The sequence below is a fragment of the Homo sapiens genome, chromosome 17 (genome assembly GCF_000001405.40).
Source record: "Homo sapiens chromosome 17, GRCh38.p14 Primary Assembly".
Lineage (NCBI taxonomy): Eukaryota > Metazoa > Chordata > Mammalia > Primates > Hominidae > Homo > Homo sapiens.
Window position 1 is genome coordinate 41,137,667 of NC_000017.11, and position 20,126 is coordinate 41,157,792.

The 20,126-nt window shown below is 39.1% G+C and overlaps 2 protein-coding genes across 2 annotated transcripts, besides 2 other annotated features; both read right to left on the bottom strand.

Moving 5' to 3' along the window:
- Positions 1-1,766: 1,766 nt before the first annotated feature.
- KRTAP4-6 (keratin associated protein 4-6) lies at positions 1,767-2,878 on the bottom strand. Its single transcript, NM_030976.2, has one exon. The coding sequence runs from the start codon at positions 2,819-2,821 to the stop codon at positions 2,204-2,206; it is 618 nt and encodes a 205-aa protein (NP_112238.1). The 5' UTR covers positions 2,822-2,878; the 3' UTR covers positions 1,767-2,203.
- Positions 2,010-2,522: an enhancer, noted in NCBI's record as "H3K4me1 hESC enhancer chr17:39295928-39296440 (GRCh37/hg19 assembly coordinates)". NCBI's record gives its function as "activates a minimal SCP1, AML or CMV promoter by ChIP-STARR-seq in primed H9 embryonic stem cells {active_cell/tissue: H9 hESC(primed)}" and the evidence as "EXISTENCE:reporter gene assay evidence [ECO:0000049][PMID:30033119]".
- Positions 6,614-6,716: a silencer, noted in NCBI's record as "fragment chr17:39300532-39300634 (GRCh37/hg19 assembly coordinates)". NCBI's record gives its function as "represses an EF-1alpha promoter that drives an FKBP-Casp9 reporter gene in an ReSE screen in phorbol 12-myristate 13-acetate-treated (for megakaryocytic differentiation) K562 erythroleukemia cells {active_cell/tissue: K562(+PMA)}" and the evidence as "EXISTENCE:reporter gene assay evidence [ECO:0000049][PMID:32094911]".
- KRTAP4-5 (keratin associated protein 4-5) lies at positions 11,258-12,159 on the bottom strand. Its single transcript, NM_033188.4, has one exon. It carries the CDS (start codon positions 12,099-12,101, stop codon positions 11,556-11,558), a length of 546 nt encoding a protein of 181 aa, NP_149445.3. The 5' UTR covers positions 12,102-12,159; the 3' UTR covers positions 11,258-11,555.
- Positions 12,160-20,126: the final 7,967 nt, after the last annotated feature.

A 20,126-nucleotide genomic window follows, 5' to 3' on the forward strand; every position in this document is an offset into this window, starting at 1 on the left:
CAGAAATTCAGGAATTATATATGAAAAACTAGAGGCTGGAGGTGATCTTGTCTTTCAGCTGAAGGAATTTAATTTTTTTCTGAGACCATGGTCTCTCAAATACTGCCTGCATAAGTCAACTCCCAATGCTCATAAACAACTGTTTTCTTAGTTTTGTCTAATTGTCAGAGTCATTCCTACTGAGAGGTTGAATCTTCTATCAGTTACTTTGTCACAACTGGAAGTGGAATTCTGTTTTTTAATTTTTTTAATTATACTTTATGTTCTAGGGTACATGTGCACAACGTGCAAGCTTGTTACATAGGTATACATGTGCCATGTTGGTTTGCTGCACCCATCAACTCATCATTTACATTAGGTATTTCTCCTAATACTATCTCTCCCCCAGCCCCCCACCCCCCAACAGGCCCTGGTGTGTGATGTTCCCCACCCTGTGTGTGATGTTCCCTGCCCTGTGTCCAAGTGTTCTCATTGTTCAATTCCTACCTGTGAGTGTCCTTTACTTTTTCAAGTGACCACTCTTTCCTTCATCGGGATTTTGGACCTTGCACTCTGCTAGTTGTTGTCTTACTTCTCTGGTGATTCCTTTCCAGTCTCCTGTGGTTTCTGTTGCTTTGTTTTCAACTTACAAGTGATGGAGTGTCCCACAGCTCAGGGCATAGATGTCTTATTCTCAGACACTTATTCCCTATGACCAGGAAGCCACATTCAGTCCCACGGCATTCAAAGTCCCATTTCATATGCTGAGACCAACTGGAGGTTCATTTAATTTTCACCTACTTTCTCTGACCCATTAGGAGTTGTGTGCTGTAAGTGGTGTGAAGGAATAATGCCCCTACACAGTCTAAATTATTGTTCGTTCATGTAGTAGAACCTATGGAAGTTAAAGATTCATGATTCAATACCACTACATTATTTACTGGACCTTTAACTCCTAGAATATGTATTTAGTACAGAACTTTCTAAATGTTTCTCCTGCTTTTACTAGCTTGAATTGACATAAAATTTATTTTCACCATTTTCCCCCTAGGATGGAGTTTATAGGCCATATTCTGGGTTTAACTAAGAACCAAACTATTCCGTTAGTTGGTTTCTTCTAAGTCCCCATATTTCTCTATGAAAATTCATTTTTGTAGAATTTATTGACCAAGACCATGTGCCCCAAGACCATGCTATTAAATACACACCACAGAAAAGTCATTAAGGTAGGAAAAATACTAAAATTTGAGTATTTTACATTTTCTGCAATTCCCCAACTTCTCAGAAGATTGATTTTCCCTAAAGGTAATTATTTTGTTGTTAATGGATGGAGATGAAATTAAAGCAGCTGAGAGTGTGATAAATTGAATTACACGAGAGATGGATAAACCTTAAAGAGTAGCCTCTGGTTTTACAAGAATGGGATAAAAGAGATAAGGGCAGAACAAGATGACAGGATCGGGGGCCATGGGTGGAGGAGGGAAACGGAAAAATAAAGCAAATAAGAGAGGAGTGAGATTGTAGGGAAAGATACACTTTCAAAAATATTTAAGAAAATTTAGCTGTGGGATATAACCCTTCTCCATATTCATAAAAAAACTTAACTTAAAATCTTTATTTTTTTCAATACTTTTGGAAACATCCATGTATTGCCTTTTTTTTAGGTCATTACATGTTGCAATTTTCTTGAAGGTGAGAGCAAGAATAGGATTCGTTCAGTTGTGTTTTGGGTGGAATTTCTCAGGAACTAAGGACAATCATTACAAAGCAACACAAAAAGAACATTGTATTTCTATGCGACAAAAGTGGAGTTTTATTCAGAAGCAGCAAAAATAAGATACAGAAACATTGCTGTAAAAGGAAATACAGGGTGAAACAATCAGACTTTCAAATCTGAGAGTGAGACAACCTTGCCCCGAGTTACCCTGCAAGAATTTCCATGTTTGGGACAGAAGAACTTGGTATCCATAAATACAAATATAAGGTATAAAATTTGGTAAATTCTATTAATTTCTTTCTGTAAATAATATCTAATTTCACACTTGGGTCAACATGGGGAACATATATTCTAGATGTATAGCCAGGACATATATCCTAGATATATGTCCAGGATATGGAAACACAGTTGGTGGGAATGGCCTCTTCTGAGTTGTTTATGAGATGCACAAGGTCTGCTTCTGTGAGGAGTGAGCTGAAGGGGAGGAGATAGTTTCAGGCAAGGAGCTCAGCAGCAAGAGGAGGCACAGCACAAGGGACGGGGGCAGGTGGAAATGACACAGGTTGGGCGATAGCAAGTGGTGTGGCAGGAGACTCGGCCACAGACTGGACGCAGGCAGCAGCAGGGGCGGCAGCAGCACGGGCGGCAGCAGCTGGATTCACAGCAAGAGGGGCGGCAGCAGCTGGAGATGCAGCAGCTGGGACGGCAGCAGGTTGGCTGGCAGCACACAGACTGGCAGCACTGGGACCTGCAGCACCTGGACACACAGCAGCTGGGGCGACAGCAGCTGGAGATGCTGCAGCTGGGACGGCAGCAAGTGGGCTGGCAGCACACAGACTGGCAGCACTGGGGTCTGCAGCAGCTGGATACACAGCAGCTAGGGCGGCAGCAGGTGGTCCTGCAGCAGGTGGTCTGACAGCAGCTGGGACAGCAGCTGGGACGGCAGCAGGTGGGCTGGCAGCACACAGACTGGCAGCACTGGGGTCTGCAGCAGCTGGACACACAGCAGCTGGGGCGGCAGCAGGTGGTCCTGCAGCAGGTGGTCTGACAGCAGCTGGGGCGGCAGCAGGTCTCCAGGCCACAGCCCTGGTCAGAGCAGACGGAACCACAACAGGAGCTGACCATGGTGTCAGAGGGTAAAGGTTCTGGGTGGGTTTCCAAGAGAGTGAGTTTCGTGAGTTTGGGAGTCTCCTTGCTGCATGTCCCCTTTTATACCCAGCTGAGGAGCCTTTGTGATTATGAGAAGATTGTTTCCTTGTTTTTGTTTATATGACACAAATGCAATTACTAAATTATATTGTGTTTTTCTAGTAAAAAATCCCAATATATAGAAAATGATTATTTCCCTTTTCTCACCCTGGTGTTCCCACATGAGTCACCTCTTGTTTTCCTTTCCTTGGTTTCAGTGTCACATGACTTCAGTCTCTGGGTATCATGTGACATGGGAGGGCCACTGTCACTTGTCTGTTTCTCATCATGATATCGTTTTGGGAGAGCTTCTGATTGGGCTAAGATCTCTAGTGGAGAAATGCATGTGTCAATCAGCTGGAATGCTGACAGGAAAAAAAGAAAATATGCTCCTGTTTTTGAGTGTGAGAAATAAGGAAGCTTATGATTCATTGTATGTATTCTGGGTGGCCATTGAGCTAACTAAATTCCTAGGTCATTGCAAGCTGTGTTAATTCTCATCACTCTGGTGCACCTTGAAACAGTTAGTAGTGACTCACTGTTTCTAAGGAACAAAGCATCATCTGGGCTTGAGCTGCGTCTGTCTTCAAAAGTGTCCTACAGGCTGAAGTAGAGTAATGTGGATCATAGTTTTTGATCTGCCTTTTGAAATATCAAATGTGTAATGGTTATGCTTTATTGACATTTTGTTAAAATCTTTTTCATACATTTTGAGCTAAAACATCTAGCAGGGTTTTTTTTTAGTATCACTTATTTCTAAGATTTTTTAAGAAGCATTGAGAGGAATATAAAAGATATATTCTTTAACTTACAGGTACTTATGTAACTGTGGACCTCAATTTTAAAAATCACCCACTTTCTCTTCCTTTCCTCCCCTCTCACCTCTTCATTCCTTCCCTCTGCACACTCCCTTCTGGCAATACTATCTAATATCTTATCTAATTATATTCTTGCTTAAGAAATTCCAGAGGCTAATCTTGAAACAAACCAGGCACAGAGCCCTGAGGAATCCTCTCACTTAGGGGGAATCTTGAACAATTAATCCACCACCATTGGGCTGAAGTCAAAATAATGCCTCCCAAACCTCTGGACACCCAAGATAGCCATTGGAACAAGACATGCAGACTCAGCACCCTGCACCACCCCTGCATGTCTCCCATGCCAAGTTTCCCTTTCAAAACCCTATGGCAAATTTTAAAATTTAAGATGGCACTTTAGAATGCTAGTTCACTAGCTAAAGGATGTCAGTGAGATATATCTTGGGGTGAAATGTTTTTATTTCCTTCACTTAGCATTCTTCTAGTTATTCATTACCAGTTAGTTCAAATGCCATTTTTCTCCAATATCTTTCTTGGCCTCACACAAAGCAAGGTTATCCTCTGGTTTACTGGCTCTCCAACTAGAACTAACTTTCCTTTCACCAGCCCTTGCCTCTTATGTGTTGGCTTTCCAGCAGCAAGCAGCTGAACCTGGGTCCAGTTACATTTACACAGAAATTGCATTCATAACAAGTTTTTATTTTATTTATTTATGTATTTATTTTTTGAGATGGAGTTTCACTCTTATTGCCCAGGCTGGAGTGCAGTGGCACCATCTCAGCTCACTGCAACCTCTGCTTTCCAGGTTCAAGTAATTCTTCCGCCTCAGCCTCCCAAGTAGCTGGGATTACAGCCATGTGTCACCACGCCCGTCTAATTTTGTATTTTTAGTAGAGATGGGGTTTCACCATGTTGTCCAGGCTGATTTCAAACTCCTGACCTCAGGTGATCCACCCACCTTGGCCTCCCAAAGTGCTGGGATTATAGGAGAGAGCCACTGTGCCCGGCCCATAAAGAGTTTTTAAATAAAATCCTCACATGATCATGGTTCTAAATAAAGGGTCTTCTTTAGTGCCGTGGACATTCAGGGAAAAGCAATTATTCAAGGAAAGAACAAATTACCTTCACAATATTTTCTCTTCCTGGGAATGAAGGGATGTCTCTTGTGAACTTATGTGGGGCCTGAGGAACCTGGAGATCTCTGCCCTAGTGGAGTTTGTATTCTAGAAGGAGCTGATAGACACATGAATTTCCAATGGAGAATGAGATGATAGAGCCCATGTGTAAATAAGGCACCACAGAAGTGCAATGGAGGAAGGATTTTCCTCACTGAAAAATCACTGACTTGAGGCGGATTGATTAGTAGGAGAAAAGGCATACACATTTATCTAACAAGTATACCCAAGAGCCTTCAGAATGAAAACTCAACCCCTCAATAAGGTACAGAAGCTTATACAACATCTTGAGGTCCCAGAAAGAATGAGGGCTCAGAGCATGGCCAAAAACAGGAAACAGGTTTTAGTGGCAAGGCAGGTGTATTGGTCCATTCTCATGCTACTATGAAGAAATACCCAAGACTGGGTAATTTACAAAGGAAAGAGGTTTAATTGACTCACAGTTCACCATGGCTGGGGAAGCCTCAGGAAACTTACAATCATGGCAGAAGGGGAGGCAAACACATCCTTCTTCACATCGTGGGAGCAAGGAGAAGTGCAGAGGAGAAGGAAGATAAGCCCCTTATAAAACCCTTAAATCTCATGAGAACTCACTATCACATGAAGGTAACCGACCCCATGATTAAATTGCCTCCCCCTGTGTCCTTCCCATGACACGTGGGGATTATGAGAACTACAATTCAAGATGAGATTTGGGTGGGGACACAAAGCCTAACCATATCAACAGGTTATGGGAGGGAGAAAGAAAGAGGCTTGGCCAGCAAAGGGGGTCTTGTTATGTGGATGAAATCTCACAGGTAGCAACTCTCAGAGAAAAGAGATGGTAAATGATTTTTTTCAGAACTCTAAGGGTGTCAGACAGTCAGTTATTCTCTTCTAGATCCAGGAAAGGCCTATAATGAGAAGGCCTGACTGCATTAATGGAGATTCTCTACAGATGCAAATTTCCTTCACAAAAGACAGCTTTGCAGGGCCACTTTAGTCTGCTGGTCATGTGGCAGCCATCTTAAAATATGTCAAAAAATATATTTTGGGGTAAAATATTTTTTATTTTCTTAATTTAGCATTCTTCTATTTGTTTTTTACTGTCCAAATGCCATTTTTCTCCAATATCTTTCTTGTTCTCACACAAAGCAAGGTCCTTCCTCCACTGCACATCTGTTGTGCCTTATATATGCACAGCCTCTACCATCTGATTCTCTCTCAGAAATTCATTTGTCTATTGGCACCTTCTAAAATACAAACTCCATTAGGGCATAGACTATGATCTATTCATCTTTATATAACAGAACCTGAAACATATGTTTAATGGATGAAGATTTTGTCAAGGCTTTCAAGGGTCACACTGACCTTTGAGAATACAAACCATTCAAATAGGTGGAGAGAAAGGGGATATAAAAGGAGCACATAATTGAGATTGGGCATGACCCTGGCTTGTGATGGTGAAAGTGATATGCTGAAAGGTCTGTTTTGAGAAGTAATGAGAGAAGTTGGGATTGATAGCATGAGGGAGAAATTGTGGGTACCCTCAAATCCTGGAAGAAATGGTAGGGAGCTATGAAAAGCCTTCAGGAAGGAATGTTAGGTGATATTGTAACCGCCCAGTGGGTTCATTTTTCTTGCTGTTATAATTTTGGCAAAAGTGCTTTCAAAATATATGCTATGCACAATGTATTTTAATTTTTGATCTGCCTTTAGAAATGACAAAACACTCCTGGATTTCTGGGAAGAGATGCCATTAAAAAATTGAAGTGAGGCTGGACGTGGTGGCTCACACCTGTAATCCCAGCACTTTGGGAGGCCGAGGCAGGTGGATCACAAGGTCAGGAGATCAAGACCATCCTGGGTAACATGGTGAAATCCTGTCTCTATTAAAAATACAAAAAAATTAGCTGGGCATGGTGGTGAGCGCCTGTAGTCCCAGCTACTTGGGAGGTTGAAGCAGAAAAATGGCATGAACCTGGGAGGCGGAGCTTGTGGTGAGCAGAGATCATGCCACTGCACCCCAGCCTGGGCAACAGAGTGAGACTCCATCTCAAAAACAAGAGAAAAGAAAAGAAAAGAAAAAAGTTGAAGTAAGACAGTAAAATTTGAACTCTCAGCATCAGGTGATGGCCGTGAGCATAACAAAGATAAATTATTCTCTTTATTATGAAATAATAAATTTATTTATGAAATAACTAAATTCTTTCTTTGAAATAATCAGTAGAGACTTGGAACAAATTGAAAATAGAGGTATAAGAAGGGTTCTTCCTAAAAGTTATAAAAGATATTTCAATTGAACTAATTGTTTACATATTCTATAATTTTCTATATATGTAATTTATACCCCCTACCTACTTAAAGCCAATAATTAAAGTTTTTAAAGGATAAATAAATAAGAAAGGATAAGATGTGCCTAAAAAAGAAGAACTTAAAAAGAATAAGCCATTTAGAGATAAGGAAGAAATATTTACATTAAAAGACTAGAATGGAATCGTTGGCACAATTATGCACTAACTACACTTGTTCTTTTCAGAAACTTAAGCAAAATAAAAACCCAATGTTTTATGGAATTCCTGTCCCTCCCTCCCTTCCTTCCTTCCTTCCTTCCTTCCTTCCTTCCTTCCTTCCTTCCTTCCTTTCTTTCTTTCCTTTCTTTCTTTCCTTCCTTCCTTCCTTCCTTCTTTTTTCTTTCTTTCTTTCTTTTTCTTTCTTCTCTAAATATTGTATACTGAGAATTTTGCTGGATGCTGGAATAACAAAATAACAAACGACATGTTTTGCAATTGTTCTACTGTTTTACATATATTCGCTCAATTACTAGTCCCAACAATCCAGTATGGTAAATTCTATTATAATCCTCCCTTCACAGATGAGAAACTTAAGGCACAGGTGGGATTCAAGCCAGTAAGCAGGGGAAATGTAATTTTATTTCAGCCAGCCCAGCACTGGGTCCATGTTTTTAATCACTATACACACAACCTCTCTGCAAAATCAGATATGAAAGGAATTTTCTCTATCCTCATGTTGCTTTTGATGCAGTAAAATTTATGAATTTTTTTCTTTGACAGCTCCTGGGTATGTGTCATATTTTAAAAGGCCTTTCCAGTTATAAATTTACATAAGCATTATCCCATAATTTCTGTTAACTTCAAGGTTTCATGTTTTATATTTTAAAATATTTTACCTACTAGGAATTTATACAGATAAAAATATGAGGTTTAAATGTTTTATAATCAGATGTGACCAAGGCTCAACATCATTTATTAAATAATACATCTTTCCATTACTGAGTTAAAGTGCCACCTTTTCATATAATAAATTCTTTTGTGTACGTTAGTCTATTTCTGGACTTGATTTTCAATTCACTAATGATTTTTCATGTGCTAGTATCACAGTCATCAATGTATGGTATTAACATGCTTCTAATGGTTATCAAGTTCAAGTCTGCCTTGATAGGTTATGGCAATATGCTAGTGAACTCATATATCTGTGTTGCAAAATTGTATATGTATACTGCGTTCCTTGCCATGAAAATGTGAATTGCACCTGTCTGGGCTCTGAAACTGGCATCGAAAAGAATACACTAGCTGAGTCTGCAGTGGCGTATGAGTCTTACTAGGTTTGTTGAGTTTCCTGTAAAATTCTGACTTAGGTGGTGCAGCTGAAACAATTGGTGGAACCAACTTGTTTAATCACCAAGCTTGTTGATTAACCTCTTCCTTACTCACTGGCCAGATGGGACTGTTATAAGGGAGTTCATGGGAATTAAAACTCTTATTTCAGTTACTTCTTTAATCAAAACAGGCATCTATTGTTGCCTTTCTGGAGTTCTATCTTGCTTAGTTTTACTAGCTAGAAAGGCTTGAGCAATTCCAAAGCTATATATTTAGCATGGGCAAATAGTACTGAGAGACTTTGAAGTGAATGAAACATCAACTAAGTCAATGTTTCATTCACTTAAAATCCATCTCTACTGTGCATTTAGATAAAGCTGATGTGACCACAGAATAATAACTGCAGTCACACTTTCCCATTCATAAATTTATGTCTACCTTGGGTTTCACCACAATGTCTTCCATATCATCTTTGGACCCTTCAGAGCACCATAACTCTCTCCAAAGCCAATGACTGTACTTGAGTGTCTGTGCATACTTATTCTAAGAAGTTTCGCATGCCACCCTTGGGACATTTCACCCAAATTATTGCATAGGCCTTCAGACCCGGGGTACCTGCTCCTTGTTATTGTGAGCCCTGGGTACTGAGCTTTCCCTTGTTGCTTTCCCTGAACTCTAGCTACACCTTTGCAAATAGTCTCTTTATTACGCAGATACACTGTGTCATCTCATTCCTGCTGTGGCCCAGTTCTTGTGGACACAGGAAATTACAAGCCTCATATACTTTAATACTGAAAAGACCATATAAAACCTATAGTCTTTGATTTCACTCTAGCTAATAAAGCATAATGTTAAAACCAAAGCCTGCATCCTGTAATGAGCAGTTGTCAAAGAAAAACATATGAGAGGATAAAAGGTTTGTTAATTCTGATGTATGAAATGACAAGTCTGTACTCTGTAGAATAATTTAGAGTGAATGGAAAAGGCTGAAGCTGAAAGTGTCTGCAAGGCATTTTTATGATATGCTAAGACCATAACGCCTAACTTAGGCTGGAGTGAAGCCCACGTAATGTTAACTTCTATTCATGCAGTCGCTTGACAACTTAAAACTTCTTTATTTTTACATTTCAGAAATAATAATTAGCTCTTAGTTACATTTCTTTGGAAATATAACACAGCTAATAAATAAAATTCTGATTTATAGAAATTTTGGATTTAAAGCAGTTTTAATATACTTTGGATTATTAGCTGAAATATAAACCCTTATATTTATATAAATAAGATATTTTGCACATATTGTGACACATTTTTTCATCTACATAGAATAACACTTGTTTGAGTTTTGATGATGAGAAAACTGAGTCTCAAGGAAAAGTCCCACCCATGTTCTCTTAAGACAAAGCAAGGTGATTAAAGCCCAAAACAAAGGAGTAAAACTATCAAGAAAATGAAAAAACCTCAGTAACATTAGGGGCTAAAATTATAAAGGAGTTTCAGTCTGGAAATACTAAGACTTTGAGCATCTATTAATTAAAAGATGTAAAACTTTTATGAGAAAACTGCCACAGATGTCATAAATTTCCCGAAATCTTGACTTAGAAGGTAGACTGTGTTCTGAAAGATCATTTTATGTTAAGAGAGGAAAAAAGGAAGGAAGGAAGGAAGGAGTGAGGGAGGAAGGAAGGAAGGAAGGAAGGAAGGAAGGAAGGAAGGAAGGAAAGAAGGAAGGAAGGAAGGAAGGCAGGTAGGCAGGCAAGGGGAGGGGAGGTGGAGGGAAGGTAAAGGGATTAGAAGGGGAGGGAGGGGGAAGTAAGGAAACAAGAAAAAAGTACTTGAGCTAGGGAAAACACTCAAAATTTCCACAACAAATAATGGAACATACTGGAAGTAGAAATACAGTCAGACAAAATGTAGATGACTTCATGATGTTCAACTTGCTGGAGTTTTTAAGGGACACTTGAGGCATATACCAAAACTTAATTTTGAGTTGTAGAAGACAGCGCAACAATGATACAAATTTTCTTGCTGTTCTGTCAAAAAGAAAATTATGCTAAGATATTATTCTAGCCCAGGGTATTGTTTCAATCATAGTAACAGCAGAAATTGTATTTATTTATTTATTTATTTATTTATTTATTTATTTATTTATTGAGACAGAGTTGCTCTGTCACCCAGGCTGGAGTGCAGTGACATGATCTCGGCTCACTGCAACCTCCTCCTCCTGGGTTCAAGTGATTCACCTGCTTCAGCCTCCCAAGTAGCTGGGACTACAGGTGTGCACCAACACGCCCAACTAATTTTTGTACTTTCAGTAGAGAAGGGATTTCACTATGTTGCCCACACTGGTCTCGAATTCCTGGCCTCAAGTGTTCCACCCACTCAGCCTCCCAAAGTGCTGGGATTGCAAATGTGAGCCACCACGCTCGGCCAGAAACTGTATCCATTAAGAGCCTATACTGCATTATGTACCAGGCCCTGTGGTGAGTATATTACATGGGTTATGTCTCTTAACATTTAAAGAATGTAATGCATTATCTCTATTCACAGAGAAAGAAAACTGAGGCCTGAGGAGGTTAAAAAACTTGCCCCATGCCACGCAACAAATACCTAGGGGAGTCGTGATTCCAATGCAGGGAACATGAATCAAGAGCCCAGGCTCTTAAACATGCTCTCCTGCATTTGAAGAGAGATGGCCCTTGATGTGAACTGACAGGTAAAGACACACACACACACACACACACACGCACAATGAGATCACTAACAAATCAGAAGATTTCAATATTAGGGAAGTGGCTGTTTATTAATACATGAAAACAATATTATATGAGATCATCACAGTTAGTGTCCCCTTCGAATGAAGACACTGCTCATCTAAAAATAACTGCATTGGGGCCTGGCATAACATATTTTAATGAATGTGATTGTCTGTCATTTCCTAGAAGAGCTGAATGTCCACTCTGAATGCCACATGAGACAAACTGGCAGGGAAGTGTTCATTTTTCCAGTGACTGGCTGGCTACAGTGCATTTTAAATGACTAATGAAGACATTCATAGTATGACAAATATCACAAGGAGACATTAGCAGCAAGAGGAGGCACAGCACAAGGGGCGGGGGCAGGTGGAGATGACACAGGTTGGGCGATAGCAAGTGGTGTGGCAGGAGACTCGGCCACAGACTGGACGCACGCAGCAGCAGGGGCGGCAGCAGCTGGATTCACAGCAAGAGGGGTGGCAGCAGCTGGAGATGCAGCAGCTGGGACGGCAGCAAGTGGGCTGGCAGCACACAGACTGGCAGCACTGGGGTCTGCAGCAGCTGGACACACAGCAGCTGGGGCAGCAGCAGGTGGTCCTGCAGCAGGTGGTCCTGCAGCAGGTGGTCTGGCAGCAGCAGGGGCGGCAGCAGCTGGATTCACAGCAATAGGGGCGGCAGCAGCTGGAGATGCAGCAGCTAGGGTGGCAGCAGGTGGGCTGGTAGCACACAGACTGGCAGCACTGGGGCTTGCAGCAGCTGGGGCGGCAGCAGGTGGTCCTGCAGCAGGTGGTCTGGCAGCAGCTGGGGCGGCAGCAGTTCTCCAGGCCACAGCTCTGCTCAGAGCTGACAGAGCCACAACAGGAGCTGACCATGGTGTCAGAGGGTGGAGGTTCTGGGTGGATTTCTAGAAGAATGAGGTTCTCAAGTTTGGAAGTGTCCTTGGGCCACAGCCTCTTATATACTGCCCAGCTGTCTTGTTGGTACTACATTTTCCTTGTTTTTGTTTACTTAATAACTAAGTGATTATCAGATTACACAATAATGTTTGCCCATTTAATGGTTTAAACTTGTTGAAAACAAAATTTTCTTGTCCGGATGTAATAAGATCTATCATGTCTGCCTTCTCTCATGATTCACACCTCGGTAGCATCTTCTAGACCACGTTCTCTTCCTCTTCCTCCACAGAGGGCTGTTCATGTGATTCCCTGCATTTGGAATTGCATTTCTTACTCTCGCTTCAGGTACCCTCTACCAAAATGGGATTTGGTCAGTCACACTTCCAGTTATGCATTCCCTCTAGTGACCAATAGCGAGGAAAACCCATCTGCTCAGTGTGGCATTCCTAGTCTGTGGGTCATTATTAAGCAATAAGCAAAGGGATAGCAATACCTGCATGTGGCCTTGGTGACCTCTACACTATTGAAATGGGTTTCCCTGAATGTTTCAAATTTTGGGTCATATTCCATATCCTTAAATTTTTATACTTGGTGTTACTAATGGGTCAGTTTCTTAAATTGATACTTTGCTCTCCTATATTTTGTGTCATGTCTCTCCAGTTAATCTATTAGATTCCGGAAGACATAGTCCCATTTTTATTCCATAACTCATTGTTTTTTTTAAATGCCTCTAACTGTCTGTTAACATAATGCAGGTGTGTGTTTTCACTTTTTAAAAAAGAAATTTGAGATAATTGTAGATTTACATACAGCTGTAACAAACAGTCCCAGGAGAGGCTGTCTGTACTTCACCCAGGCTCCCTAACACTGTGTAACACCTGTATAATACTTTTAAGAATCTATCTACCCCCACTACTGTGTCTTGCATGATGTGCTTAATATAGAAAGAACTCAAGCTCAGTGAAATTAAAAACAATTAGTTATTTTTCAGATTGACGTATAATATTGTATTTACCACATACAACATAATATTTTGAAGTATATATACATTGTGGAAGGATTAAATCTAGCTAATAAATGCATTACCTCTCATACCTATCATTTTTTTGTGGTGAGAACGCTTAATATCCATTCTTAGAATTTTTCAAGAATACAGTATGTACAATATATCATCATTAACTATAGTCACTATGCTATACAGTAGACCTCTTGAACTGATTCTTCCTGTCTAGCTACAATTATATGTCTTTTGACCAGTATCTCCTCAAGCCCCTGACTCCCTAGCCACCCCTAGCCTCTGATTATCTTCATTCTCTGCTCTACTTCTATGATATCAACTTTTTTGAGTGCGATCATGTGAGTGAGATCATGTGCTATCTGTCTTTCTATGACTGATTTACTTCACTTAGCATAATTTCCTTGAGATGTATCCATGTTGTCACAAATGACAGAACTTCCGTCTTTTTACGGCCAAATAGTATTGCACTGAGTATATACTGCATTTTCTTTATCCCCTTACTCATTGGTGGACACTTGCACTGTGTGCATATCTTGGCAATTGTGAATAGTGCTGCAATAAATCTGGACATGCAGTTATTTCTTCAACATACTAAGTTCATTTCCTGTAGATATATAAGGTACCCAGAAGTGGATTGCTGGATAATACGGTAATTCCAGTTTTAATTTTTTGAGGAACCCTTATATTGTTTTCCATAATGGCTGAACTAATTTATATTCCCACCAACAGTGTACGAGGGAGTTTTTTTCACATCCTTGCCAATACTTGTCATCTTTTGTCTTTTTGATGATAACCATTCTAACAGGAATAAGGTGATATCTCAATGTGGTTTCGATTTGTATTTCCCTAATGATTAGTAATGTTGAGTACTTTTTCACAAACCTGTTAGCCATTTGTATGTCTTCTTTTGAGAAATGTCTAGTCAGGTCTTTTGCCCATTTTTAATCAGGTTTTTGTTTTCTTGCTTGTGAGCTGTTTGAGCTCCTTTTGTATTTTGGATGTTAACCCCTTATGAGATATATACTTTATAAATATTTTCTCCCATTCTGTAGGTTATCTCTTGACTCTTTTTGTGGTTTCCTTTGCTGTGTGGAAGCTTTTTAGTTTGATGTAATCTCAGTCATCCAATTTTTCTTTCGTCGCCTGTGCTTTTGAGGTCATATTCAAAAAGTCATTGCCGAGACCAATGTCATGAATCTTTCCCCCATGCTTTCTTCCAAAAATTTCATAGCCTCTGATCTTACATTCAAGCCATTAACCCATTTGAACTGATTTTTGCATACTGTAAGAAATAAGGGACTAATTTCATTCTTCTGCATGTGGATACCCAGTTTTCCTAACATAATTTATTGAAGAAACTGTCCTTCCCCCATTCTTGGCATCTTTGTTGAAAATCAATTGGTTATAAATGAGTGACTTTATTTCTGGTCTCTCTATTCCATTCCATTGGTCTGTGTGTCTGTTTTTATGTCAGAATGATGGTATTTTGGTTACTGCAGTGTTGTGGTTTATTTTGAAGTCAGGGAGTGTGGTGCTTCTAGCTATATTCTTAGTGTCCAAGATCACTTTGGTTTTTTGTGGTTCTATACAAATTTTAGAACTTTTTAAAAATATTTCTGTGAAGAATGTCATTGGTATATTTATAGGGATTGTGTGAGATCTGTAGATTGCTTTAATAATATTTGGACAATATTGGAATAAACACAGGATATCATTCCATTTATTTGTGTTTTCATCAATTTCTTTCATCTGTGTTTTACAGTTTTCAGTGTAGATATCCTCACTTCCTTGGTTAAACTTGTTCCTAAGTATTTTATTTTATTGTAACTATTGTAAATGAAATAGTTTTCTTGATTTCTTTTTCAGATGGTTTGCTATTAGTGTATAGAAAACCTACTGGGTTTTGCATGTTGATTTTATACTCTGCAACCTTACTGAATTTGTTTATTAGTTCTCACAGTTTCTCAGTGAAGTCTTTAGGGTTTTCTACATATAAGATCATGTCATCTGCAAATAGAAACAATGTAACTTCTTCCTTTCCAATTCAGATATTTTTAAAATATTTTATTCGTGTAAATGTATAATTTTGTTACATGGATATATTGCATAATGGTCGAGTCAGGACATTTAGAGTATCCATCACTGAAATAACGTGCATTCTACCCATCAAGTAATTTCTCATCATCCTTCCCCCTCCTACACCCCTGCCCTTCAGACTCTCCATTGTCTGTCATTCCACACTCTACCTCCATGTGTACGCATCATTTGGCCCCACTGTAACTGAGAACATGCAGTATTTGTCTTTCTATGTCTGAGTTGTTTCACTTAAGATAATGGCCTCCGGTTCCATCCATGTTTCTGCAAAAGACATGGTTTCATTATGTTTTATGGCTGAAGAGTATTCCATTGTTTATATATAGCACATTTTCTTTATCCAGTCATCCACTGATGGACATTTAGGTTGATTCCATATGTTTGCTACTATAAATAGTGGTGCAATAAACATATGTGTGCAGGTATATTTTTGGTATAATGATTTCTTTTCCTTCAGGTAGACACTCAGTCATGGGATTGCTGGATCAAATGGTAGTTCTAGTTTTAGTTCTTTGAGAAATCTCCATACTGTTTTCCATAGCGGTTGTACTAATTTACATTCTCAACAACTGTTTATGTGTTCCCTTTCAGCTCCATCTTCATCAACATTTGTTATTTCTGTCTTTTTGATAGCAGCCATTCTTACTGGTATAAGATGATCTCTCATGGTGGTTTTAATTTGCATTTGTTTAATGATTAGTGATGATAAGCATTATTTCAAATGCTTATTGGCCATTTGTATGTCATCTTTTGAAAAATGTCTGTTCATGTCCTTTTCCCCTTTTTAATGGAATTATTTGCAATGTTTTTGTTGGTAGAGTTCCTCTTAAATTCTGGATATTAATCCCCTGTTGGATGGATAGTTTGCAGATATTTTCTCCCATTCTGCAGGTTGCCTGTTCACTCCATTGATTATGTCTTTTGCTGTGCATGACAGACCAGGAGCACCATCATCTTGGACAAACACTGCCACTTGAAGTTGCAGCTCCCTTTCTAGCCTCATGCATTTCAAGGAAATCACTTCTCTTCTAACTACAAGCAGCCAGAAACAGCAGACAGTAAAACACAGATAAGATAGCTCTGGCACAGAGGGAAGCAGGGGGAAAGTCTCTTGGGTAACTGCCAAACTTCACCCTCGTACAATGGGCCCCAGTAAAAGAGTGGGCCTTAATAAGCACTTTCCTTTCCCTTCATGTGCACTAAGATAGGGAAGTTAAAAGCAGACTCGGGCTATGCCTGCAAGGGAATAGACACACAACTCTCCCTCCCAGATAAGCACAACAAAGAGACACAGAAGCAGTCCAAGCCTCTAAAAAACTCTCCCACCCTGAATCCTTAAAAACTCTTAGTCTGTAAAAAGTGTGCCTCCAACCTAACTCAGCCAAATGCCACTCTTAGGTTTGTTTTCTCTAAAATAAACCTGTCTTAACTGGCAAGCCATCTTTCATGTTTCTTTCCTTTTTGTTTAATTCTTACAGTGCAGAAACTTTTTAGTTTAGATAAATCTTATTTGCCTATTTTCTGTTTTGTTGCCTGTGCTTTAGAGGGCATAGTCATGAGTTTTTGGCTAGACCAATGTCCAGAAGAGTTTTCCCTAGGCTTTCTTCTGGTTTCTTTCTTTCTTTCGTTCGTTCGTTCTTTCTTTTTTTTAGACGGAGTCTCGCTCTGTCACCCAGGCTGGAGTGCAATGGCTTGATCTCGGCTCACTGCAACCTCTGCCTCCCAGGTTCAAGCGATTCTCCTGCCTTAGCCTCTGGAGTAGCTGGGATTACAAGCACCCATGACCATGCCTGGCTAATTTTTGTATTTTTAGTAGAGTCAGGGTTTCACCATGTTGGTCAGGATGGTCTTGAACTCCTGACCTCAAGCAATCCACCCGCCTCAGCCTCCCAAAGTGCTGGGATTACAGGCATGAGCCACCGCTCCCGGCCTCTTCTATTATTTTTATAGCTTCATGTCTTACATTTAAGCCTTTAATGCATCTTGAGTTGATTTTTGTACATAGCGAGAGATAGGGATCTGGTTTCATTCTTTTGCAAAGGCAATCCAATGTACCCAGCATCATTTATTTATTGAATAGGATTTCCTTTCCCGTGTATGTTCTTATCAACTTTGTCAAAAATCAGTTTGCTGTAAGTATGTGGCTACACTTCTGGGTTCTCTATTCTGTTCCACTGATCTATGTGTCTATTTTTAACCCCAAACCATGTTGTTTTGGTTACTATAGCCTTTTAATATAATTTGAGAATGGATAACGTAATGCCTCCAGCTTCCCCACCCCCCTTTCGGATTGCTTTAGCTACTTGGGCTCTTTTTCACTTCCTTATCAATTTTAGGATTTTTTTCCCTAATTCCATTAAAAATGACATTAGTATTTCAGTAGGAATTGCACTGAGTCTGTAGACTGCTTTGGGCAGTATGGTCATTTTAACAGCATTAATTCTTCTGATCCGTGAGAATGAGATGTTTCCCATTTGTTTGTGTTATCTACAATTTCTTTTGTCAGTGTTTTGTAGTTTTCCTTGCAGGTATCTTTCACCTCATTCGATAAATATATTCTTAAGTATTTTTATAACTATTGTAAATGAGATTGCATTCTTGATTTGGTATTCAGCTGGATCATTATTGGTGTATGCAAATGCTACTGATTTTTGCTTGTTGATTTCATATTCTGAAACTTTACTGAATTTGCTTATCAAATCCAAGAGTTTTTTGGTGGAGCCTTTAGGGTTTTCTAGATATAAGATCATGTCATCTTTTGCTGTGTGAAGCTTTTTAGTTTAAATAAGTCCTGTCTGCCAATTTTTGCTTTTGTTGCCTGTGCTTTTGAGATCTTAGTCATGAATTCTTTGGCTAGATCAAGGTCTAGAAGAGTATTTCCTAGGTTTTCTTCTGGTATTTTTATAGTTTCATATTTTACATGTAAGTCTTTGATTTATCTTGAGTTGATTTTTGTACATGGTGAGAGAAATGGATCCAATTTCATTCAGCAAACAGAAATAATTTGCCTTTCTGTTTTCAAATTTGAGTACTGTTTATCTCTTTCTCTTGCTTGATTGCTCTGGCTAGGGCTTCCAGTACTATGTTGAATAGGAGTGGTACAAGTTGTCATCCTAGTCTTGTTCCAGTTCTTAGGGAGAATGCTTTCAGTTTTTCCCTATTCAGTGTGATGTCAGCTATGGGTTTGTCATATGTGACCTTGACTATGTTGAGGTACATTCCCTCTATACCTAATTTGCTGTGAGTTTTTTCATAAAAATATTCTGAATTTTTAAAAATGCTTTTTTTTGCATCTACTTAAGTGATCATATGCTTTTCATCCTTCATTCTATTAATGTGACGTATCATGTTTATTGATTTATGTGTGTTGGCCTAACCTTGCATCCCCTGAGTGAATCTCACTTGATCACGGTGAATGATCTTTTTAATATGTTGTTGAATAAGGTTTCCTGGTATCCTGTTGAGTATTTTGTATTTTTGCACCTATGTTTATAAAGTATATTGGCCTATAATTTTCTTTTCTTGTAGTGTCCTTATCTGGCTTTGGTAAAGAGTAATGCTGTCATTATAAACAGATGTTGGAAATGTTCCCTCCTCTTCACTTTTTGTGGAAGAGTTTGATAAGGATTGGCATTAATCCTTCTTCAGATGCTTGTTAGAATTCACATGTGAAGCTATCTGGTATTGGGCTATTCTTTGCTGGGAGGTTTGTTATTGCTACTTTAATCTTCTTATTCATTATTGGACTCCTCAGATTTTCTATTCTTCATGTTTCAGTCTCGGTAGGTATTATGTTTCTAGGAATTCATCCATTCCTTCTAAGTTATCCATACATTTACACACAAACATACACAGACATACACATACACATACACATACTCATAAGTGCATGTAAAACTGATAAAACTAGAACAAGTTTTGTGGATTTTACCAATGTCAGTTTGTGGGGTTTGACATGTACTCTAGTGATGGAATACGTGACGACTGGGGAAAACTGGGTGAAGGGTGCATAGGACTTTGCTGTACTTTTTTTTCTACTTTCTGTGAATTTATAGTTATTTCTAAATAAAAAGTTAAAAATATATATATGAGGATTATTGGGAAAAAAAGGGGAGCATGCTTTTACTTGCCAATCTCATTGAATATTTACGACATCCTTACTATATTTTGTGGCTATTGTGATCATTTCCTTAAAGAAAAGCAACCCTAGGCTGAGATAGTTAACATGTACAAGAACATACCTGGTATGTAGTACAGTCAGAATTCAGCCCCAACTCTCTCTAATTCCCAAGTGCACAGTCTATACTGTATATAGAGCTTCCTTATCAGTTTAAATCCCTCCCTTTAAATAAGTTTAAATCACTTCATGGGATGCAGTTTATTGACGACTTTCTATTTCGGTGGCTGTTGCAATTCATAGCTCTTATGTTAGATGTATTAGGTTCAAATATGCCTCCTTTGATACATTTTCCTATTTCTGCTGTGAGACAGAATCCTAGTTTTGATTAAAAATCTCATTAGAGAATATCAATTTAATTTTTCAATTGTATGATCCCCTGATAACATGTACTCTCGGGTTGTGCAGAAAAAGAGACAGAAATATGCATAGGCCAATTTATTAATAATAAACAGTGAAAGAGAACCATACACACAGATTGTCTCAAGTCTACCTAAATGATACCTCTTTTATTACACAGAACAGCTGTATTTTTTCTTTTATACACTTTTTTCTCTTTAAACTCATTGTTTTGTTGTCATTTTAGAAGTTCATTTTTTTTTATGTTTACCTAATTGATACCTCATCTGGAGGATTGGACCATCTATGAATCTTCTTCCTCTCCCACAGGTTGACCCATAGCTAGTGGTAACTGATGTCTGAGTGCAAAATT